This window comes from Homo sapiens, chromosome 3 (assembly GCF_000001405.40).
Source record: "Homo sapiens chromosome 3, GRCh38.p14 Primary Assembly".
NCBI lineage: Eukaryota > Metazoa > Chordata > Mammalia > Primates > Hominidae > Homo > Homo sapiens.
The window spans coordinates 155,703,393-155,727,081 of NC_000003.12; the positions used below are offsets into that span (position 1 = coordinate 155,703,393).

Below are 23,689 nucleotides of genomic sequence, written 5' to 3' on the forward strand. Positions count from 1 at the left end.
GGCACCACATAAGTCTTTGGCTTTTAAATCAGTTTCACCCTGGGGTATCTTGACAGCAGGATTGACAGAGCTTATCCCTGACTGTATACCACAAAACAAACAGATACCAGCAGGGTAAAGGCAATTTGTCTTAGTTTGCCATGAAAATGACTAATATTGATTACTCTCTGATTCACAGCTGCAGTCCTCCACCCTGATAGTAACGGTTTAGTGCTGCAAACTCTTCTGTTCTGTTGTTATATGGGACATAATATATAGATAAGTCTGAAAGCCCTAAAGGACAGCAATAAAAGTGGGTGGACTTCTCTTCAATAAGTGTCTAAAGCAGGTGGCCACAAGCACCCTCTAACATCTCAATTTGGAAGGCCATGCTATGCTGGTAATAAGCATTGACTGGTGATCCACAAATATTAACTGAACAATTATATGGCCCTCACCCAAAATAATTACAAACATCAGAAAGGGATATTACTGGAGTTGACAGTGTGGTAGAAGAGGAAAGGCACTGGTACCAACTACCCTACGAAATAGAAAGAGATAACACTATTATAGTCGTTGAGGTGGGGCCCATTCCTTACAAGTGGAGATAGTAAGTGCAATGGGACTTCTTGGGTAATTATTCATAAACAAGTTAACTCAAGCTCTTGGTTCCATCCAACAATTATACCATATTTGCATCTAGAGTGCTAGAATAAAAGTCCTGTCAGAAACAAAATAAAAGATCCAACTACATAAATACAAGAGACAGCTTACCATGAAACACACTGTTGTCCACCAGAAAATGCCTGCGGTACTGCACACAGTTCCTTTTTTCCAAGTTCCAGTAACTCATTGTCAGAAGATTTCTGGCACAGCATCAAAACCAAATTGCCCTGTCAAGGGAAACAGAATGAGACAAAAATGAAGAAAACGGCAGCCACACGCTCACACTGGTAGCATAATGCCATCGGTTGCCCAGCATTACGGGGCAACATATACGGCATACAACTTCTCCACACATGGAGCTGGAATCCCCCAGGCCCTAAGAAATTTCTCACAAGTCTTCCCAGGGTCTAGAATGACATTTAGCATATCAAAACAGTAACTTTTTCAAACCACCTTTCAGGGCTCAATGTTACCCATCTCCAGGGGAAATAAACCTACCATCAGAGAGCAGGTTTCAGGACCAGTATATGTGCTCCCAGCCTCACTCCTAGTAGTCCAAGATCCAAACTAGTCAACACTGGTAACATTTCAGGAAATTTCAGTTGCAGGTGGGGAGGCAACTAACAGGAACGAAGCTATCATTCCCAATTCCTGAATTTTGTGTCAGTACAGCATCCATGTGGCCATGAATGAGCCAAGCACATTAATAAAATGTGCCTCCCTCTTTTTGGTTCATTGCTGGTGTCCATTTAGGACTGCTAGGGCCTGGATCTGCCCAGGCTGAACTCATTGATGTAACTAGAGCTGGGCACAGGCCTCAGCAAGGTAAACTAGCAGTGCCTGCTCCTACATAAGACTTGCTCCATCACAGACACAGAGAAACACAATGCTAGCTAGAGCAACAACTTGAAAAGCAGAGATCTGAGTCGATGAATTAAATTCCTCCAAAAGCTGACGTGCATAACCCTGAACAAGGCCTCCTTTGTTCACAGGATTTGGCTAAAGCAACTTTTCAGAATTCCAACCTCCTTTCTGTTCACAGAATAAAGCCAGGCAAAACCAAGCAAGGCTGGCATGAAGCAAAACCCACAGGTGGAAAACAATTTGTCATCTCTCCTACTAAAACCACCTAGAATTTTGTAAACGTATCCCAGGATAAAATCAGTCACTTAGTGAAAAAAATATATATTATCAGAGTGTTGTCTATTCATTAATGGAACAATTGGTGAAGGCTCCTGAAGCTTTTGTCAGAGCTTCTCCTTGGCTCCCTATGGCCCAACCTTAACCCACAACACCAGGGATTTTACCTAATTCCTGCCTATCCTGCCTTTTCTCTGGCTCCGTGCTGGACTGGCCACTTCCTCTTGCCTCATACCCACCTGGCTAATCTGACTGCTTATCCTACTCCCTAAGGCTGAGGGAGTCTTACTACTGTATGGAACTGACTACAAAATACAATAGAATATAGCTAATTATGAAAACAACCCAACCTCTGCCCTCTCCCCAGCCAATACTATATACTACAAAGTTCTCTTCTTTAGAAAGTATTTTTAGTTATACAAATAATGCAGTTATATATGTTCATTATTTTTAATAATGTGCATTTGTTTATAGTTAGCAAAATATATTCACATACATGATGCTCATTTGTCCCTTATTAATCTTCTGAGGTGAGTACTCTTCTCTCCTTCTACAACATTAAAGAAGATGACAAGGTGTTAGAGATTAACTGATTCACCCAATGCTGCTAGGAAAAAATAGTAATGAGACTTGAAGTCATATCTTCATATTCCAAAGTCAAGCCATAATAGCAACTAGGACTTTATGAAGTGAGGTCGTTTAAAAAATACAATCTGGGCTGCGCGCAGTGGCTCACGCCTGTAATCCCAGCACTTTGGGAGGCCAAGGCGGATGGATCACGAGGTCCAGAGATCGAGCCCAGCCTGGCCAACATAGTGAAATCCCATCTCTACTAAAAATACAAAAATTAGCTGGGTATGGTGGCACGCACCTGTAGTCCCAGCTATTCGGGAGGCTAAGGCAGGAGAATCACTTGAACCCAGGAGGCAGAGGTTGCAGTGAGGTGAGACAGCGCCACTGCACTCCAGCCTGGTGACAGAACAAGACTCTATCTCAAAAAAAAAAAAAAAAAAAAAAAAAAATCTGCTGGCCAGGTGCAGTGGCTCACGCCTGTAATCCCAGCACTTTGGGAGGCCAAGGTGGGTGGATCATGAGGTCAGGAGTTTGAAATCAGCCTGGCCAATTGGTGAAACCGTGTCTCTACTAAAAATACAAAAAATTAGGCCAGGTGCGGTGGCTCACACCTGTAATCCCAGCACTTTGGGAGGCCGAGGTGGGCAGATCACGAGGTCAGGAGTTCCAGACCAGCCTGACCAACATGGTGAAATCCCATCTCTACTAAAAATACAAAAATTAGCCGGGCATGGTGGCACACACCTATAATCCCATCTACTCAGGAGGCTGAGGCAGGAGAATCACTTGAACCCAGGAGGCGGAGGTTGCAGTGAGCTGAGATCCTGCCACTGCACTCCGGCCTGGGCGACAAAGACTCCGTCTCAAAAAAAAAAAAAAAATCTGCAAATTATTATACATTCCTCCCCTCAAAAGGTAGAATCTAAATTCACCTTCCCTTGAGTATGGGCTGGACTCAGTGACTCGTTTCTAACAATAAAATCAGCTGGAAATGATGCTATGAGTCTTCCAAGATGAGGTCACAAGAAGGATACCACTTCTGCCTGGTTCCCTATCTCTCAAGATGCTTGCATTGGAACCCAGCTACCACACTGTAAGGAAGCCCAGATTTAAGTGTTCTAGCTCACAGGCCCAGCTAGCCCCTCACCCAACAGCCAGCATCAGCCACAGACATGTGCTATATTGAATGTTTGTGTCTGCCCCAAATTCCTATGGTGAAATCTAATGCCCCCCAATGTGATAGTATTAGGAGGTGGGACCTTTAGTCTCCACCCTTATGATTAGGATTAGGTCCCTTATAGAAGAGACCCTAGAGAGCTAGCCCTACCCTTCCACCATATGAGAACACAGCAAGAAGTCAGCAGTCTGCAATCCAGGAAAGGGCCCTCACAAGACATCAAATCTGCCAATGCCTTGATCTTAGACTTCCCAGCCTCCAGAATTGTGAGAAATAAATTTCTGTTATTTATAAGCTACCCAGTTTATGGCATTGTTATAGCAGCCCAAAATGAACTAAGACAACATGAGAATAAATGAATCTACAGATGATTCTAACCCCAAGTATTTCAGATGAGGCCACAGATACTGATGAGAAGAAATAAGCCATCCCTCTGTGCCTCACATGTATTTTTGACCTATAGAAACAGCGAAAGACAAGGCCGGGCACAGTGGCTCACGCCTGTAATCCCAACACTTTGGGGGGCCAAAGTGGGTGGGTCACCTGAGGTCAAGAGTTCAAAACCAGCCTGGCCAACAAGGCAAAACTCCGTCTCTACTAAAAATAGAAAAATTAGCCAGGCGTGGGGGTGGGCGCCTGTAATCCCAGCTACTCGGGAGGCTGAGGCAGGAGAATCACATGGCCAAGACCATGCCACTGCACTCCAGCCTGGGCAACAAGAACAAAACTCCATCTCAAAAAAAAAAACGGTGAAAGATAATAGATAATTATTATTTTAAGACAAAAGATGTGGGGTAATTTGTTACATAGCAATAGATAATGTAACATATAATACATGTAACATCCTCTCAGAGGATGATCATCCAATCAGAGTTGAGACCTTCAACACTTTCGGGACAGAAGCACAAACCTACAGACATATATGTAATATTCACATACTTGGACATTAGCTCACATCAATGGCCCAGGCTTTCCAGCTTCCAGATCTTTTTGCTTTTCTTTAAGGGCTGGGTAACATGCCACTGCCTTCATGAAATGCCCCCAGGAATCTCTCCCTCCAGTTTACCTAAAATTCTTTCATGCACTGAACTCCCATAATCCTGTTTCCCAGTTACTGAGAACCTACTATGCATTAGGAACATTGATAAGACTTTACATCAGTGAGCCTCAACCTTGACTACACATTAGAATCATCTGGGAAGCTTAAGACTCCTGACTCCCAAGTTACACCCAGGCCAATTACATCAGAATCTCTAGGGGTGGGATTCAGGCATCAGCAGGAGACTAATGAAAAGATGCTCTCCCTTCGGCCTTCAGATTTAGAGATAATGGAGGTGGAGATAATAAATAGAGTTAGTAGGCCTGGGGCAAGGGAAGAGAGCTGTGCGATAAGCCTCATTTTAGCTTCCACCAGATTCAGAAGAGCCAGGCCCTAGGGCTCACTAAAGGGATTCAAGTGAAAGGGATGTTAGACTTCAACTAAGACAAACCTCTCATGGTGTAGCCAGAAGGAAACTGAGGCCCAGAAAGGATGTGTGGCTTGCAAGATAACACCTCTAGCTGGAAGATGATAAACTGATGGGAAACCCAGCCTCAGCAGTTCCAAAGCAGGTTGAGTCTTTCATGGCCCCGTTTGTGTGAACACAGTAGGTAAAAACAACTACTGAAGTATACTACATTCATTTATTTTTTAGACAATTTATATTACATTAGAGATGTATTTCCCCTGCATCTTGTATCCAGTTTGAAGTTGTTTGGTCAATATTCAGGCAAGGATGGTTTTAAATTGATCACCTTTTTTTTCTTTTCAACTTGCTTTTAAGACTTACAAAATATTCCACCTCCTAAGAGGTCTAGGTAATATAATATGTTACACATTCAGAACTCGATAAGCATTTACATCTTATAAATAGAACCTGCAGATTTACGCTCTTTATTAAACATACAGATTAATTATGGTACCATACAAAATAGTCTCATTGCCCTAAAGTCTGCTATGCTCTGCATTCTCCCTCCCTCCCCCTTAGCCCCTGACGAGCACTGATAATTTTTACTGTCTCTATAGTTTTGCCTTTTCCGGGATGTCTTATGGTTGGAATCACACAGTACATAGCCTTTTCCAATTGGCTTCTCTCACTTGGTGATATGCATTTAATGTTCTACGTCTTTTCATGGCTTGAGAGCTCATTTCATCCTAGCACTAAATAATATTCCATTGTCTGGATGTGCCACAGTTTATTTATCCACTGAGCTACTGATGAACATCTTAGTTGCTTCCAAATTTTGAAATTTATAAATACAGATCCTGCAAACATCCATGTGCAAGTTTTTGTGTGGATATAAGTTTTTAACTCATTTGGGTAATACCAAGGAGGGTGACTGCTGGACTGTGTGGTAAGAGTATGTTTAGTTTGTAAGAAACAGCCAAGCTATCTTCTAAAGTATAAGATATTTTGTATCATTTTGCATTGCTGCCAGCAATAAATGATAGTTCCTGTTGCTCTACATCTTTGCCAGCATTTGGTGTTACAAGTGTTCTGGATTTTGGCCTTTCTAATAGCTGTGTGGTGGTACTCATTGCTGTTTTAATTTCTACTTTGCTAATGATCTATATGAAGCACCTTTTCATATGCTTGTTTGCCAGTAGTATATCTTCTTCAGTGAGGTGTCATTCATTCATCCATTCATTCATTCATTTATTTATTTTGAGACAGGGTCTCACTCTGTCACTCAGGCCGAAGTACAGTGGCATAATCAAGGCTCAACTGCAGCCTCGACCTCCAGGGCTCAAGCAATCCTTCCATCTCAACCTCCTGAGTAGCTGGGACCACCAGCGTGAACCACCATGTCTGGCTAATTTTTTGACTTTTTGCAGAGACAGGGTCCCATTACGTTGCCCAGGCTGGTCTCAAACTTCTGGGTTCAAGGGATCTTCCTGCCTCAGCTTCCCAAAGTACTGGGATTACAGATGCCAGCCATCATTCCTGGCCTTTTTAAAAATTTTAATCAGGTTGTTTACTTATTGTCAAGCTTTAAGAAGTGTTTGGTTGGTTGGTTGGTTGGTTTCATTTTTGTTTTGAGACGCAGTCTCACTCCGTCACCCAGGCTGGGGTGCACTAGTGCCATCTTGGCTCACTGCAGCCTCCGTCTCCCAGGTTCAAGCAATTCTTCTGCCTCGGCCTCCCGACTAGCAGGGACTACAGGCACACGCCACCACACCTGGCGAATTTTTGTATTTTTTTAGTAGAGACGGGATTTCACTATGTTGACCAGGCTGGTCTCAAACTCTTGGCCTCAAGTGATCTGCCCACCTCAGCCTCCCAAAGTTCTGGGATTATAGACATGAAGCACTGCACCCGGCCTAAGTTTTAAGAGTTTTAAAAAAATGTATTTTGGACAAGAGTCCTTTATCAGATACATCTCTTGCAAATATCTTCTCCCAGACTGTGACTTGTCACTAACAGTGTCTTTTGTGGAGCAAAAATTTTTAATTTTAATAAAATCCAGCTTATCAATGAAAAAAAATTAGATTCTGAATCCTTACAATGATTCAAAACATAATTGACAGTGAATAAGGAACACCATATAAGGAAATAACTGATTGTTATTAAAACTAGTTCTATGGCTGGGTGCGGTGGCCCATGCCTGTAATCCCAGCACTTTGGGAGGCCGAGGTGGGCAGATCACTTGAGGTCAGGAGTTTGAGACCAGCCTGGTCAACATGGTGAAACCCCATCTCTACTAAAAATATAAAAATTAGCCAGTCGTGTTAGCATGCACCTGTAATCGCAGCTACTCAGGAGGCTGAGGAAGGAGAATGGCTTGAACCCGGGAGGCAGAGGTTGCAGTGAGCTGAGATCGTGCCACTATACTCCAGCCTGGGCAACAGAGCAAAAAACTCTGTCTCAAAAAAAAAAAAAAACTAGTTTTAAAATATAGCTGCATGTTTACAAACTTGAAAAGCATAGAAAAAACTAAAAAAAAAAAATGTTCAATGTGATATTACTTATCCCCTAAAGACAATGACCATGGGCACTGTGGTCTTTTTTTTTTTTTTTTTAACACAAATTAGATATTATAAGTCTACTTCTTTTGCTTAATAACTACTAATATGTTGCAACCCTCTAGGTATATCAACAAATATACTTCTACAGAACATAAATGTGATTTGAAAAAGAAATTTTAATGGACTCTACTCAAAGACACCAAACACAAAAAATCCTAATGCAAAAATAATAAATAAACAGAGCCATGTAAGTGTGTAGAGGACTCATGCAGCAAATGGACTAAAAGTATAGCTTAAAAGTTAAAAATGCTCCTAAGCTCATTTTATAAGTGATAAGTAACTTTTGTAATCTTGTAAAATCATGTAAAAATCATGTAAAATTTCTTTATTCCTGACATTTTTAGTTGTAGTTAACACGACCAAAATTGTCAATACCAAACAAGTCATATGTGGCAGTAGGGACACCACCAATGAAGAATATTAGAAATTCAAGGATGGCACTTTTAACTAAGAAAAGTGGGAAGTACTTTGAGTAATAATCATTTGTCAATACTTTTAAAACTCGACAATGAAAAAAAAAATCCTTCACACCCACACCCACTTACTAGAATTAAAGCTCCCTTTAAGAAAACTCCACCACAGTGGACATCTGCTGATTTTTCGCTCCTCTAGAAATAGCACCCCAGTTTTCCTCTGGGAAAATCCTTCTCCCACTCTCTGTTCAAAAGATTCAGGTGCTGTCAGCTTCATCCTCTGATTCAGGTAGGCATGTGGCTTAGGTTGCAAATCAGAGTATTGCATCCACTAGGCCACAGTATAGGAGATCCACACGGCCTGTTTCAGATCACTCAGAGTAAGGCACAGATTTCTGTTTGAACTCTTGGGGGAAAAAAAACTTCCTTTTCAGTTTTACTTGAAGTTGCAAGGTCTAAGCTTCAAGACCTAAAGTTCCTGGCCACCATCCTGTCAATATAGTGGAAAAATTTGTGGAGATTGGATCCAACCCAGAGAAATGGAAACAAACCAAGTCGTGGTAATATCATTTGCCACACCTGAAGCTAGATCTGTCCTTGCACCTTTTAATTAAATAAGCCAGTACATTCTCTTTTTTGTTTTATTTAGTTTTGTGTAAGCCACATTGAGTTGGGTTTTCTGTCACTTGCACCTAGAGTCCCAACTGATGAAATACGTCAGCATAGCAAAATGTAAAGAGGACCCATCTGGCCATCATGAGCTCTCTATTCTGGTTTCAGTTCTAACAACCAACTCACAGGGGACCTTGGGCAAGTTTTTAACAAGTCCTCTCTGAGTTCAAAAATATGACTCAATATTTTCTTTCTTGGGCTTTCCCTAGGGATGTGATGCATTCAAGCCCTTTGTCCTGGCTGAAAAGGATTCCCCCAGACTATCTGAAGGTGTATTTAAGCAAAGCAAAACACAAAACCTTTTCTTCAGCTTTAGAATTCCTTTAGCTATTTTCAAATGTGACGCAAATCTATATTGCTGCTTTAACCTGAGTTTTATGAAACACTACAGATTTGTTCAAGCCACTTGAATGGCTTAAAAGACAAATTATCCCAGTTCATATATGGAAATCAGAATTATAATACTGTGCTAAAAAGAAAAAAAAAGGTAAATCTTTAAAAGATAACTTTAATTAGCCAGGAGAGGTAGCAGATGCCTGTAATCCCAGCTCCTCGGGAGGCTGAGGCAGGAGAATTTCTTGAACCGAAGAGACGGAGGTAGCAGTAAGCTGAGGTGGCACTATTGCACTCCAGCCTGGGTGGGACAGCGATACTCTGTCACTAAATAAATAAATAAATAAATAAATAACTTTATGGGAAGAAGGGGCCCTTTTTTTTTTCTAAGTAGAGGAATTTGTCTATTACACCCTGACTGCCGTCTCCACCTCTTTCTCTCTACTTTATCACCACCAGAGCCCAATCTCCTTCAGTATCCTTTTCCATAAAAACCAATACTCCCTTTACATTCCTTATTAATAATATATTATTTGTAAATCACTTCATGATTTACACAATTTTCCATTTATATCTTGTCTTTAAAAAAAAAAAAGCCCTTACAATAGCCCTGTGAGTTCCACATTATTAACAAATAAGACTAAATGGAAACAGCAGGTTGCAAACCCACATCTCCTGACTCCAAATCCACTGTCCCCAGTCCAGAGCAACACTCCACATCCAGCACCAGTTCCTCCCTGACATTCCGCTTCCCTATAAAAAGAACCTAGAGTTGAATTACTCAGGACAGACAAGACTCTAATTCTTCCCACATCCACCATTCACCCCAACTCTACTATGAACCAAGGAGAAGAGACAGGAGGAGACAACTAAATGAAACATTACTTATTCAAAAAATGCATACCTTGTCCCTCCAGCAGGAGCCTCTGGAGTGTATAGATTAGAGATGATCAGAGCAAAGTGTCACTCCTTTGGGTATAAGATGGTGGATGGCTACTTTGAAATGAAATTTGAGTGAGCTACTTGGACCAAGTTCAGAAACACCAAGACCAAGTTTACTTGCAAGATATCATGGTAAAAACTGTCTGAGAGGTGTGTGTGTTCTCCAAATTGCTAACAGCATTTGGAGAATGTTGGAATGGGAAGAAAATCTGGCCAGAAATTAAAATGTAATGCACACGCCTGCCTCCTTGGTGGAAAAGGAATTACTAGTTCATGGGACATAGTAAGGTATCAAGGGACAATGGACAAACACCTGACTGGAAGTCAAAAACCCAGAGCTGCAGCCCAATCCTGCCTCTTACTAACACTGTGTTTCAGGGTCAATCTCTTCACAACCCTGTGCTTCAGCTGCCTCATCTATGTCACAAAAAGGGATGGCAGTGAATGAGATGTTCTTCAAAGTATTTCCAATTTTAATACTCAATATTCTATTAATAAGGATTATGGAAAACTCCTCCCTAATATCCCAATCCATTCATCTTTTATTATAAATTAAAATAACCCTGAAAAACCACAAAATGAACTGTCAGGTATCAGTTGTGTAGCATTTAACTTACATGGAGAAGTGCTCATTTCCTTCTTCTTAAGCCTTGCTGAGAGATAAAAGGCAAAATTAATAAGCTCTGACAGTAATATTCATAAAACAACAAGCACTTAGGAACAGGAAGGCATAGAAAAACAGGTCTCAAAACTATATCCTGTACTTCGGCCTCTGACATAACGTATGTTTGGGAATTTTGCACCCAGGTATCCCTAAAACTTGAGAATTGAAACTAAATCCAGTTAAAAACTAAGATTTCAAACAAAGTTGCTCCTTTCTCATTTCTCCATTAATTTTAAGACAAAGTAAGAGAATTACACAGGGCAGGGATGGGGTGGGAGGGGCCAGGGATCCTCTTCTCTGGCCCAGCCCCAAACTGACAGCTTCTAAAGCAGTTCAGAAGCCTGGGTCAGGTCCAGAGGGCTCCCATGTCACCCGCCACCCAGCAGATGGCCTTCCCCACCATCAGCCCCTCCCCTACTTCCCGCAGGTTTCTAAGCACCACCAAACTGGTTGTTAAAGGCCTCTGCAAACAGCCTAATTCCACAGCCTAGCCCCCTCCCAGCTATGTACACAAAGGGAAAGAAATAAAAGGGTACTTTGTTCATTTTTTAAGGCTCACAGGAGACACCACTAAATCCCAAGTTCCTGGTGTGTTTTCTTTTCTCTAATGCAATCAGGAGCTGAAAATGCTCTGAGCTAGTTAAGCAATGAGGCGCAATCGACCCTCCAAAGACACCCGGGATGCTGCATTTGAAAGGGCTGGTTTAGAGTATATAATATGTATCCAGAGCTTGAAGGAGTCCTCTTCTGTTTTTTATGCATTACTGGACTTGAATTGCTCATGTTTTATGATTTTTACATGTATGTTCCCAAGCAAGGCTGGCCTATAACTTCCATTTCTCATATTGCTCTCAAAAGGCTTTTATATCGAAGTTATCATAGCTTTACAAAATGAGTTTCTATTTCCTGGAAGAATTAGGTTGCTAGTAAAACCAGTTGAGCCTGAACTTTCCTTTAAGAAGAAATATTTGACTACTGGTTTATTTTATTTATAAATTACAGCATTATTCAGGCTTTCTATTTTTTCTAAGTCAGTTTTGGTAAGTTATATTTGTCTAGATATTTATTCATTTTCTCTAAGCTTTCAAATGTTTTAGCATGAAGTTGTTCATAATATTATTCATATAATTTTAATATCTACAACATCTATTCTCTGAATCCTGATATGGCTTATTTGTGCCTCTCTTATTTTTAAATCAATCTCACCAGGTATTTGTCAATATTGCTAGCTTTTACAGTAATCTCCATTGAATAACATGGAATTATTACTATCATTTCCTTCCATCTGCTTTCTTTTTTTTTGAGACAGAGTCTCACTCTGTCATCCAAGCTGGTGGGCAGTGTCACAATCACAGCTCACGGCAACCTCTGCCTCCCAGGGTCAAGCAATGATTGTCCCACCTCAGCCTCCCGAGTAGCTGGGACCACAGGCATGCGCCAACACACCCAACTAATTTTTGTATTTTTTGTAGAGACAGGATTTCGTCAGGTTGCCCAGCCTGGTCTGGAACTCCTGAGCTCAAGTGATCTGCCTGCCTCAGCCTCCCAAAGTGCTATGTTTATAGGAATGAGCCACCACATCTGGCCTCTTTTTTTTTTTTTTTTTTTTTTAAGAGACAGAGTAACACTCTGTTGTCCAGGCTGGAGTGCAGTGGCATGATCATGGCTCACTGCAGCCTCAACCTCCTAGGATTAAGGGATCCTCATGCCTCAGCCTTCCAAGTAACTAGAACTACAGGTGTACACCACCATGCCCAGCTAATTTTTTGTGGAAACAGGGTCTCACTGTGTTGCCCAAGCTAGTCTAGAACTCCTGGCCTAAGCAATCCTCCCACCTCAGCTTCCCAAACTGCCAGGATTATAGGCCTGAGCCACTGCACTTAGCCTTCCATTTGTTTTCTTTGGGCCTATTTTGCATCTTTTTCTAACCTTCTAATTTCAACGTTTAACTGTTTTCAGGTTTTCATCTTTTTAAATATAAGTAATTAAGGTTAAGCATGTGTTAGCTACTTCCCCAACCCCCAAGTTTTGACTCATAGTATTTTTGTTATCATTCAGTTAAAAATATTTTCTGAATACTATTACAGCTTCTTTTTAAACCCAAGATTATTTTGAAACACATTTCTACAACTATTCATAGTAATCTTTTGGTTATAGTTTCTAGTTTAATTCCACTGTGGTCAGAGATTTAGTCTGTATGACACTAATCCTTTGATAATTACAACTTGCTTGATGACATAGTTTGAGGTCACTTTCCATAAATGTTCTAGTGTGTTTGAAAAGAATGTGTATTCTGAAGTTAGGAGGTGTGATCTTCATGTCTATCAGCTCAAACTTATTAGTTACTTCATTCAAATCTTGTGTGTTAGGCCATTCTTGCATTGGCATAAATACCTGAGACTGGCTAATTTATAAGAAAAGAGGTTTGATTAGCTCATGGTTCTGCAGGCTGTACAGGAAGTATGGCACCAGATCTGCTTCTGGGTAGGCCCCAGGAAGCTTTTACTAATGGTGGAAGATAAAGTGGGAGCAGGCATCTGACATGGCAGGAGCAGGAGCAAGAGAATACGATGGGGGGTGCCACACTTTGCAACAACCAGATCTCACAAGAACTCACTTACTATCGTGAGGACAGCACCAAGGCATGACAGCACCATGTCATCCTTCCCCATGACCCAAACACCTCCCACCAGGCCCCAACTCCAACACTGCAAATTACAAGTGAACATGAGATTTGGCCGGGACATGTATTCAAACTATATCATTCAGCCCTTGGCCCCCCAAATCTCATGTCCTCCTTATATTGCAAAATACAATAATGTCTTCCCAACAGTCTCCCAAAGTCTTAACTCATTCCAGCATGAACCTAGTCAAAAGTCCGAAGTCCAAGGTCTCATCTGGAAATGAGTTCCTTCCACCTATGAGCCTGTAAAACCAAAGCAAGTTCTCTACTTCCAAGTTACAGGGGTGGTACCAGCATTAAGAAAACATTCTTGTTCCAAAAGGCAGAAATTGACCAAAAGAAAGGGGCCACAGGCCCCATGCAAGCTCAAAACCCAGCAGGGCAGTCATCAAATCTTAAAGCTCCAAAGTAATTTCCTTTGACTCCATGACCCACATTCAGGGAACATTGGTGCAAGAAGTGGGCTCCCAAGACCTTGGGCAGCACTGCCTCTATGGCTTTGCAGTGTTCAGCCTCTGCAGCTGCTGTTACAGGTTGCTGGGAGCCTGTGGCTTTTCCTGGAGCAGTATACAAGCTGCCTGTGGCTTTACCATTCTGGGGTCTGGAAGACAGTTGGCCCCCTTCCCACAGTTCCACTAGGCAGTGCCCTGGTGGGGACAGTGTGTGGAAGCTCCATCCCCACATTTCCCTTCCATACTGCCCTAGTAGAGGTTCTCTGTGAGGGCTCTGTCCCTGCAGCAGGCTTCTGCCTGGGCATCCAGACTTTCTTGTAAATCCTGTGATATCTAGGGGGAGGCTACCAAGCCTCATTCACTCTTGCACTCTGCACACCTACAGGCTTAATTCCACATGGAAGCCACCAAAGCTTATGGCTTGAAATCTCTGAAGCAGCAGTCCAAGCTGTATCTGAGGCTCTTTGAGCAGAGGCTAATGCCGGAGCAGCCGGGATGCAGGGGGCAGTGTCCCAAGACTGCACAGAACAGCAGGGCCCTGGACCTGGCCCACAAAACTCTTCAGTCCTACTAGGTCTCAGGGCCTGTGATGAGAGGGGCTGCGGTCTTAGATATCTGATATGCTTCAAGGCTCTTCTACCCTTGTCTTGGCAATTAGCACTTGGCTCCCTTTCAGTTATGAAAATATCTCCGGCAAGGTGTTGCTCCCCAACCTGCTTGAATTCCTCTCCCAAAAAAAGTGTTTTCTTTCTCTACCACAAGGCCAGGCTGTGAATTTTCCACACTCTTAAGCTCTGCTTGCTATTTAAATGTAAATTCCAACTTTAAGTCATTTATTTGCTCCCACTTCTGAGCATAGGCTGTTAGAAGCAGCCAGGTCACAACTTGAACAATACTGCCCAGAAATTCATTCCACCAAATACCCTAGATCATCACTCTGAAGTTAAAGTGTCTATAGATCCCTAGGGCATGAACAGAATGCAGCCAAATTTTTTTCCTAAGGCATAACATGCATAACCTTTACTCCAGCTCCCAGTAAGTTCCTCATTTCCATCTGAGACCTCTTTAGCTTGAACTTCACTGTCCATATCACTATTACCATTTTGGTCACAACAATTTAACCAGTCTTTAAGAAGTTCCAAATTTTCCATCATCTTCCTTCCTTCTTCTGAGCCCTCTAAACTCTTTAAACCTCTGCCTGTTACCCAGTTCCTAAGCTGCTTCCACATTTTCAGGTGAAATACCCCATATTGCTATAGCAATACTGCACTCTCAGAACCAATTTTCTGTGTTAGGCCATTCTTGCATTGCTATAAAGAAATACCTCAGATTGGGTAATTTATAAGAGGTTTAATTGGCTATGGTTCTGAAGGATGTACAGGAAGCATGGCACCAGCATCCGCATCTAGGGAGGTCACAAGAAACTCTTACTCATGGTGGAAGGTGAAGCAAAAGCAGGTGTCTCACATGGCAGAAACAGGAGCAAGAGGGTGAGTGCGGGGGGGAGGTGCCACAATTTACAACAACCAGATCTTTCGAGATGTCACTTACTATTGCAAGGACATCACCAAGCCATGAGGGATGACCCAAATACCTCCCACCAGACCTTAACTCTAACATTGGGGATTACAATTCAACATTATATTTGGCAGGAACATATATTCAAACTATATCATCTTGTATGTTAGCAGATATTTTCCCCATTTTACCAAGTACTGAGGAAGTATATTAAAATCTCACCAGAAATATATGTATTTATCATTGTTCTCTCAATTTTTTGCTGAATATATTTTGAAGTCATGTTATTTCATGACTATATATTTCAAATATATTTGAAGTCATATTATCCCTAGATGCATGGAAGTTTTTTTTCCAAAAGTTTTTTGGAAAACAAGTGTTGTTTGGTTGCACGAATCAGTTCTTTAGTGGTGATTTCTGAGATTTTGGTGCACCCATCACCTGAGCAGAGTACACTGTACCCAATGTGTAGTGTAGTCTTTTATCCCTCACCCTCCTTCTACCCTTTCCCCTGAGTCCCCAAAGTCCATAGTATCATTCTTATGCTTTTGAATCCTCAAAGCTTAGCTCCCACTATGAGTGAGAACATATGATGTTTGGTTTTCCATTGCTGAATTACTTCACTTAGAATAATGTTCTCCACAATGAGAACACTTGGACACAGGAAGGGGAACATCACACACCGGGGCCTGTTGTGGGGTTGGGGGAGGGGGAAGGGATAGCATTAGGAGATATACCTAATGTAAATGACGAGTTAATGGGTGCAGCACACCAACATGGCACATGTATACATATGTAACAAACCTGCACGTTGTGCACATGTACCCTAGAACTTAAAGTATAATAAAAAAATTAATTAATTAAAAAAAAGAATAAGCAAATCCAATATATGATAATAAAAACTGGAAGAGAGGTTGCTTGTGGAGTGAATTAGGGGATTTGAACTGTTGTACTTTTTGGTAGACATTATTATGTCATGTGCTTTTTTGAAATATAGCTTGTAGCACTTTTGTTTTAGTAAAAAAAAAAAAGAATAATGTTCTCCAAATCCATCCAGGTTGCTGTAAATGCCATTATTTCATTCCTCTTTATGGCTGAGTAGTATTCCATGGTATAAATATACTACATTGTCTTCTTTTATTTTTTTTTTCCAGACAGACTCTCACTCTGTCTGGAGTGCAGTGGCGCAATCTTGGCTCACTGCAACTTCCGCCTCTCGAGCTCAAGCAATTCTCCTGTCTCAGCTTCCCGAGTAGCTGGGATTACAGTCATGCGCCACCATGCCCGGCTAATTTTTGTATTTTTAGTAGAGATGAGGTTTCACCATATTAGTCAAGCTGGTCTTGAACTCCTGACCTCATGATCCACCCGCCTCAGCTTCCCAAAGTGCTGGGATTACAGGCGTGAGCTACCATGCCTGGCCTACATTTTCTTTATCCACTCATTGATTGATGGGCATTTGGGCTGTTTCAATATTTTTGCATTTGTGAATTATGCTGCTATAAACATGTGTGGTCAAGTATCTTTTTCATATAATGAATTCTTTTGCTCTGGGTTCATACCCAGTAGTGGGATTGCTGGATCAAATAGTAGATCTACTTTTGGTTCTTTAAGAAATCTCCACACTATTTTCCACAGTGGTTGTATTAGTTTACATTCCCACCAACAGTGTAAAAGTATTCCCTTTTCACCACATCCACACTGACATCTATTATTTTTTTATTTTTTTATTATTGCTGTTCTTGCAGGAGTAAGGTGGTATTGCATTGTGGTTTTGATTTGCATTTCCCTGATCATTAGTGACAGTGAGCATTTTTTCATATGTTTGTTGCCCATTTGTATATCTTCTTTTGAGAATTGTCTATTCATGTCCTTAGCCCACTTTTTGATGGGATTATTTGTTTTTTTCTTGATGATTTATTTGAGTTCCTTGTGGATTCTGGATAATTTGTCCTTTGTCAGAGATATAGATTGTGAAGATTTTCTCCCACTCGGTGAGTTGTCTGTTTACCCTGCTGATTATTTCTTTTGCTGTGCAGAAGCTTTTTAGTTTAATTAAGTCCCATCTATTTATATTTCTTTTTGTTGCATTTGCTTTTGGGTTCTTGGTCATGAAGTCTTTGCCTAAGCCAATGTCTAGAAGGGTTTTTCCAATGTTATCTTCCAGAATTTGTAAAGTTTCAGGTCTTAGATTTAAGTCTTTGATCCATCTTCAGTTGATTTTTATATAAGGTGAAAGAGAAGCATCCAGTTTCATTCTTCTACATGTGGTTTGACATTTATTCCAGCACCATTTGGTGAATAGGGTGTCCTTTCCCCATGTTTTGTTTGCTTTGTTGAAGATCAGTTGGCTGTATATATTTGGCTTTCTTTCTGGGTTCTCTATTCTGCTCCATTGGTCTATGTGCCTATTTTCATACCAGTGCCGTGCTGTTTTGGTGACTATGGCCTTGTAGTATAGCTTGAAGTCAGGTAATAGGATGCCTCCAGATTTGTTCTTTTTGCTAAGTCTTGCTTTGGCTATGTGGGCTTTTTTATGGTTTCATATAAGTTTTAGGATTGTTTTTTCTAGTTCTAAGAATGATGGTGGTATGTTGATGGGAATTGCATTAAATCAGTAGATTGCTTTTGGCAGTATGGTCATTTTCACAGTATTGATTCTACCCATCCATAAGCCTGGAATGTGTTTCCATTTGTTTGTGTTTTCTGTAATTTCTTTCAGCAGTGTTTTGTTATTTTCCTTGCAGAGGTCCTTTACTTCCTTAGTTAGGTATATTCCTAAATTGGTTTTTTTTCCAGCTATTGTAACAGGGGTTGAGTTCTTGATTTGATTCTCAGCTTGGTCGCTGTTCATGTATAGCAGAGCTACTGATTTGTGTACATTAATTTTGTATCCTGAAACTTGGCTGAATTTATCAGTTATAGGAGCTTTTTGGATGAGTATTTAGGATTTTCTAGGTGTACAATCATATCATCGGCAAAAAACCACAGTTAGACTTCCTCTTTACCAACATGGATACCCTTTATTTCTTTCTCTTGTCTAATTGCTCTGGCTAGGATTTCCAGTACTATGCTGAATAAAAGTGGTAAAAGTGGGCCGGGCACAGTAGCTGATGCTTGTAATCCCAGCACTTTGGGAAGCCAAGGTGGGCTGATCACCTGAAGTCGGGAGTTCAAGACCAGCCTGGCCAACATGGTGAAACCTCATCTCTACTAAAAATACAAAATTAGCCGGGCATGGTGGCACATGCCTGTAATCTCAGCTACTCGGGAGGCTGAAGCAGGAGAACTGCTTGAACCTGGGAGATGGAGGTTGTACTGAGCCGAGATCGTGGCACTGCCCTGCAGCCTGGGCAAAAGAGTGAGACTCTGTCTCAAAAAAAATAAAGAAGTGGTGAAAGTGGGCATCCTTGTCTTGTTCCCATTCTGAGGAGGAAGGCTTTTGATTTTTCTCCATTCAGTATAATGGTGGCTGTGGGTTTGTCGTAGATGTCTTTTTTTTTTCTTTTTGAGATGGAGTTTCGCTCCTGTTGCCCAGGCTGGAGTGCAATGACGTGATCTCGGCTCACCGCAACCTCTGCCTCCCGGGTTCAAGCAATTCTCCTGCTTTAGCCTCCTGAGTAGCTGGGATTAAGGCACGCACCACCACGCCCAGCTAATTTTGTATTTTCAGTAGAGACGGGATTTCTCCATGTTGGTCAGGCTGGTCTGGAACTCCTGACCTCAGGTGATCAACCCACCCTGGCCTCCCAAAGTGCTGGGATTACAGGCGTGAGCCACTGTGCCTGGCCTAGATGTCCTGTTATTACCTTAATGTATGTCCCTTCTATGGCAATTTTGCTGAGGGTCTTAATCATAAAAGAATGCTGGATTTTGTCAAATGCTTTTTCTGAGTCTATTGAGATAATCATGTGATTTTTGTTTTTAATTCTGTTTATGTGGTGTATCATATTCATTGATTTGCACATGTGAAACCATCCCTGCATCCCTAGTATGAAACCCGCTTGATCATGGTGGATTATCTTTTTGATATGCTGTTGGATTTGGTTAGCTAGTATTTTGTTGAGGAATTTTGCATCTATGTTCATCAAGGATATTGGTCTGTGATTTTCTTTTTTTGGTATGTCTTTTCCTGGTTTGGGTATTAGGGTGATAATGGCTTCATAGAATGATTTAGGGAGGATTCCCTCTTTCTCTAGCTTTTGGAATGGTGTCAATAGGATTGGTGCCAATTCTTCTTTGAATGTCTGATAGAATTCAGCTGTGAATCCATCTGGTCCTGGACTTTTCTTGTTGGCAATTTTTTTTACTACCATTTCAATCTTGCTATTTGTTATTGGTCTGTTCAGAGTTTCTATTTCTTCCTAGTTTAATCTAGGAGGATTGTATAGTTCCAGGAATTTATCCATCTTCTCTAGGTTTTCTAGTTTATGCACATAAAGGTGTTCATAGTAGCCTTGAATGATCTTTTGTATTTCTGTGGTATCAGTTGTAATATCTCCCATTTCATCTCTAATTGAGTTTATTTAGATCATCTCTCTCCATAGCAGCCTTGAATGATCTTTTGTATTTCTGTGGTATCAGTTGTAACATCTCCCATTTCATCTCTAATTGAGCTTATTTGAATCATCTCTCTTCTTTTATTGGTTAATCTCACTATTGGTCTATCAATTTTGTTTATCTTTTCAAAGAAACAGCTTTTTGTTTCATTTACCTTTTTTATTGTTTTTTGTTTTGTTTTGTTCTGTTTCCATTTCATTTCCTTCTGCTCTGATCTTCATTATTCCTTTTCTTCTGCTGGGTTTGGGTTGGTTTGTTCCTGTTTCTCTAGCTCCTTGAGGTGTGACCTTAGATTGTCTATTTGTGCTCTTTCAGACTTTTTGATTTAGGTATTTAATGCTATGAACTTTCCTCTTAGCATTGCCTTTGTTGTATCCCAAAGGTTTTGATAGGTTGTGTCATTATTATCATTCAGTTCAAATAATTTTTTAATTGCCATCTTGGACCAAGCATGGTGGCTCATGCTTAAAATCCCAGCATTTTGGGATGCCAAGCCAGGTGGATCACAAGGTCAGGAGTTTGAGACCAGCCTGGCCAACATGGTGAAACCCTGGCTCTACTAAAAACACAAAAATTAGCTGGGCATGGTCACAGGTGCCTGTAATCCCAGCTACTCAGGAGGCTGAGGCAGAAGAATCGCTTGAACCCAGGAGGTGGAGGTTGCAGTGAGCAGAAATTGAGCCACTGCACTCTAGCCTGGGTGACAGAGCTAAACTCCATCTCAAAAAAAAAAAAAAAAAAAAAATTCCATCTTGATTTCATTGTTGACCCAACAACCATTCAGGTGCAGGTTATTTAATTTCCATGTATTTGCATGGTTTTGAGGCTTGCTTTTGGAGTGGATATCCAATTTTATTCCACTGTGGTCTGAGAGACTACTTGCTATAATTTCAATTTTCTTAAATTTGTTGAGACTTATTTTGTGGCCTATTATATGGTTTATCTTAAAGAATGTCCTATGTGCTGAGTATATTCTCCAGTTATTGGGAAGAATATTCTGTAAATATCTGTTAAGTCTGTTTGTTCTGTTAAGTCTGTTTGTTCTAAGTCCATCTTTTTGTTGTTGACTTTCTGTCTTAATGACCTGTCTAGGTGCTGTCAGTGGAGTATTACAGTCCTCCATTATTATTGTGTTGCCATCTACCTTATTTCTTAGGTCTAGTAGTAATTGTTTTATAAATTTGGGAGCTCCAGTGTCAGGTGCATATATATTTAGAATTGTGACATTTTCCTGTTGGACTAATTCTTTTATCATTGTATAATGTCCCTCTTTGTCTTTTTTAACTGCTGTTGCTTTAAAGTTTGTTTTATCTGATATAACAGTAGCTACTCTTGCTTGCTTTTGGTGTCCATTTGCATAGAATATCTTTTTTCACCCCTTTACCTTAAGTTTATGTGAGTCGTTCTGTGTTAGGTGAGTCTCTTGAAGGCAGGGGATAGTTAGTTTGTGAATTCTTATCATTCTGCCATTCTGTATATTTTAAGTGGAGCATTTAGGCCATTTACATTCAATGTTAGTATTGAGATGTGAGGTACTATTCTATTCATCATGGTATTTGTTGCCTGAATACCTTGGGGGGTTTTGTGTGTGTGTGTGTGTGTGTGTGTGTGTGTGTGTGTGTGTAATTGTTATATATGTCCTGTGAGATTTATGCTTTAAGAAGGTTCTGTTTTGCTGTATTTCAAGGATTTGTTTCAAAATTTAGAGCTCCTTTTAGCAGTTCTTACTGTGCAGGCTTAGTAGTTGTGAATTTTCTCAGCATTTGTTTGTCTGAAAAAGACTGTATCTTTCCTTCATTTATGAAGCTTAGTTTTGCTGGATACAAAATTCTTGCCTGATAATTGTTTTGTTTAAGGAGGCTAAAGATAGGACCCCAATCCCTTCTAGCTTATAGGGTTTCTGCTGACAAATCTGCTGTTAATCTGATAGGCTTTGACCCCAATCCCTTCTAGTTTATAGGGTTTCTGCTGAGAAATCTACTGTTAATCTGATAGGCTTTTCTTTATAGGCTACCTGAAGATGCATATGTAAGTATTTTATCTTTCTGATAAGTTGAGACTTTTTAACCAATTGACCCTCTTTATCTCTAAAAATGCTTTTTGCAATTTAAAGCCTATTTTGTCTTATGTCAAAATTGCCAGCTTCTTTTGGTTTTTAGTCACCTATTTCCCTTTCTATTATTTTACTTTTAAACATTCTGTATCCTTATATTTTAGACACTTTTTTTTTTTTTTGAGACAGAGTCTCACTCTGTCCCCCAGGCTGGAGTACGATAGTGCGATCTCAGCTCACTGCAACCTCCACCTCCCACGTTCAAGCAATTCTCCTACCTCATCCTCCAGAGTAGCTGGGATTACAGATGCATGCCCGGCTAATTTTTGTATTTTTAGTAGAGACGGGGTTTCACCACGTTGGCCGGGCTGGTCTTGAACTCCTGACCTCAGGTGATCTGCCCGCCTCAGCCTCCCAAAGTACAGGGATTACAGGCATGAGACATCACTCCCAGCCTGGACATTTCTGTTATAAGTAGCATATAGCTGAATTCTTCATCCACTCTAACAATCTTTGGTTCCTTTAGATTATGATTAGTGATACAATGGAATTTATTTCAACATCATATTTTGTGCTTGCTATTTGTCTTGCCTATTCTCTACTTTTTTCTCAGCTCCCTTGATTTCCTTGAGGTTATTTTTCTCATTTAATTTTTCTCCATTAGCTAGGAAGTTATCCATTATTTTCCTAATTTTTAGTAGTTGCCCTAGACATTTTAACATGCATACTTTGCTTATCGAAGTCTCAATAATCATTATCTCTAATCTCTTCCCAAACTATACAAGAATTTTAGAGCACATTAACTCCTTTTGCTTCTCCAACTTATGTTACTAGTTCCCACTGAATATATCATTATTACCTTATATAGTCAATACGTGTTTTAACTTAAACTTTCTTTGGTCTTCATTATTTCTTGTTTTTAAGATCCTTTATCTGGAAATAATTTTCTTCTACCTCAAGTGTTACTCTTTTAGTGAAGATCTGCTGGAACAAATTCTTTAGGTTTTTGTGCATCTGAAAGGCCTTTATTGTGTCCCTGTTTTTTAAAGATTGTTTTTTAATGAAAATAGAATCCTAGGGTGACAGTTAATTTCCCACAGTACATGAAAGATAATATTCTATTGTCTTCTGGCTTCTATTGTTACATTGTCAGGATAATTTGTCATGTCTTTGAAGCTAAGCTTAAGATCCTCTCTTTATCTTTTGTGTTCTGCAGTTTAATTATATTTTGTCTATGTGTGGATTTCTTTTTACTTACTCTGTCTGGAATTCATATGACTTCATCAATATGTCAAGTGATGCTTTTTATTGATCCTTGAAAATTCTCAGCCATTATCTCTTTAAATGTTGCCTTTTCCAATTTTCTTTCCTCTCTTCTTTTTCTGTAGCAATAATTAAAATTTTGTTCAGATTCTTTTTTTTTTTTTTTGAGACGGGGTCTTCACCCTGTTGCCCAGGCTGGAGTGCAGTGGTGTGATCTTGGCTCACTGCAACCTCTGCCTCCCAGGTTCAAGTGATTCTCCTGCCTCAGCCTCCTGAGTAGCTGGGATTACAGGCACGCGCCATCCCACCCGGCTAATTTTTTTTCTTTTTTCTTTTTTTTTTTTTTTGTATTTTTAGTAGAGACACGGTTTCACCACGTTGGCCAGGATGGTCTCGAACTCCTGACACTGTAAGCCACCTGCCTCAGCCTCTCAAAGTGCTGGGAATACAGGCGTGAGCCACTGCGCCCGGCTCAAATTCTTTTGATTAATTTTCTATGCAGCTTGGATTTACCTATTCATAAATTCATTCACTC

At 40.5% G+C, this 23,689-nt stretch overlaps 1 protein-coding gene across 13 annotated transcripts in view; it reads right to left on the reverse strand.

The window, feature by feature from the left end:
* Positions 1–23,689, reverse strand: part of PLCH1 (phospholipase C eta 1) — a 294,138-nt gene that overhangs the window by 252,459 nt on the left and 17,990 nt on the right. For 11 of the 13 annotated variants that reach the window (XM_017005927.2, XM_047447747.1, XM_047447746.1 and 8 more), the window contains exon 2: positions 754–872. In XM_017005927.2, the coding sequence (XP_016861416.1) occupies positions 754–832 (79 nt within the window). In that variant the 5' untranslated portion in view covers positions 833–872. Of the gene's footprint in view, positions 1–753; positions 873–1,143; positions 1,554–23,149; positions 23,274–23,689 lie in introns of those variants that run through there. The other 2 variants (XM_011512562.4, XM_011512561.3) reach the window with 2 other exon arrangements.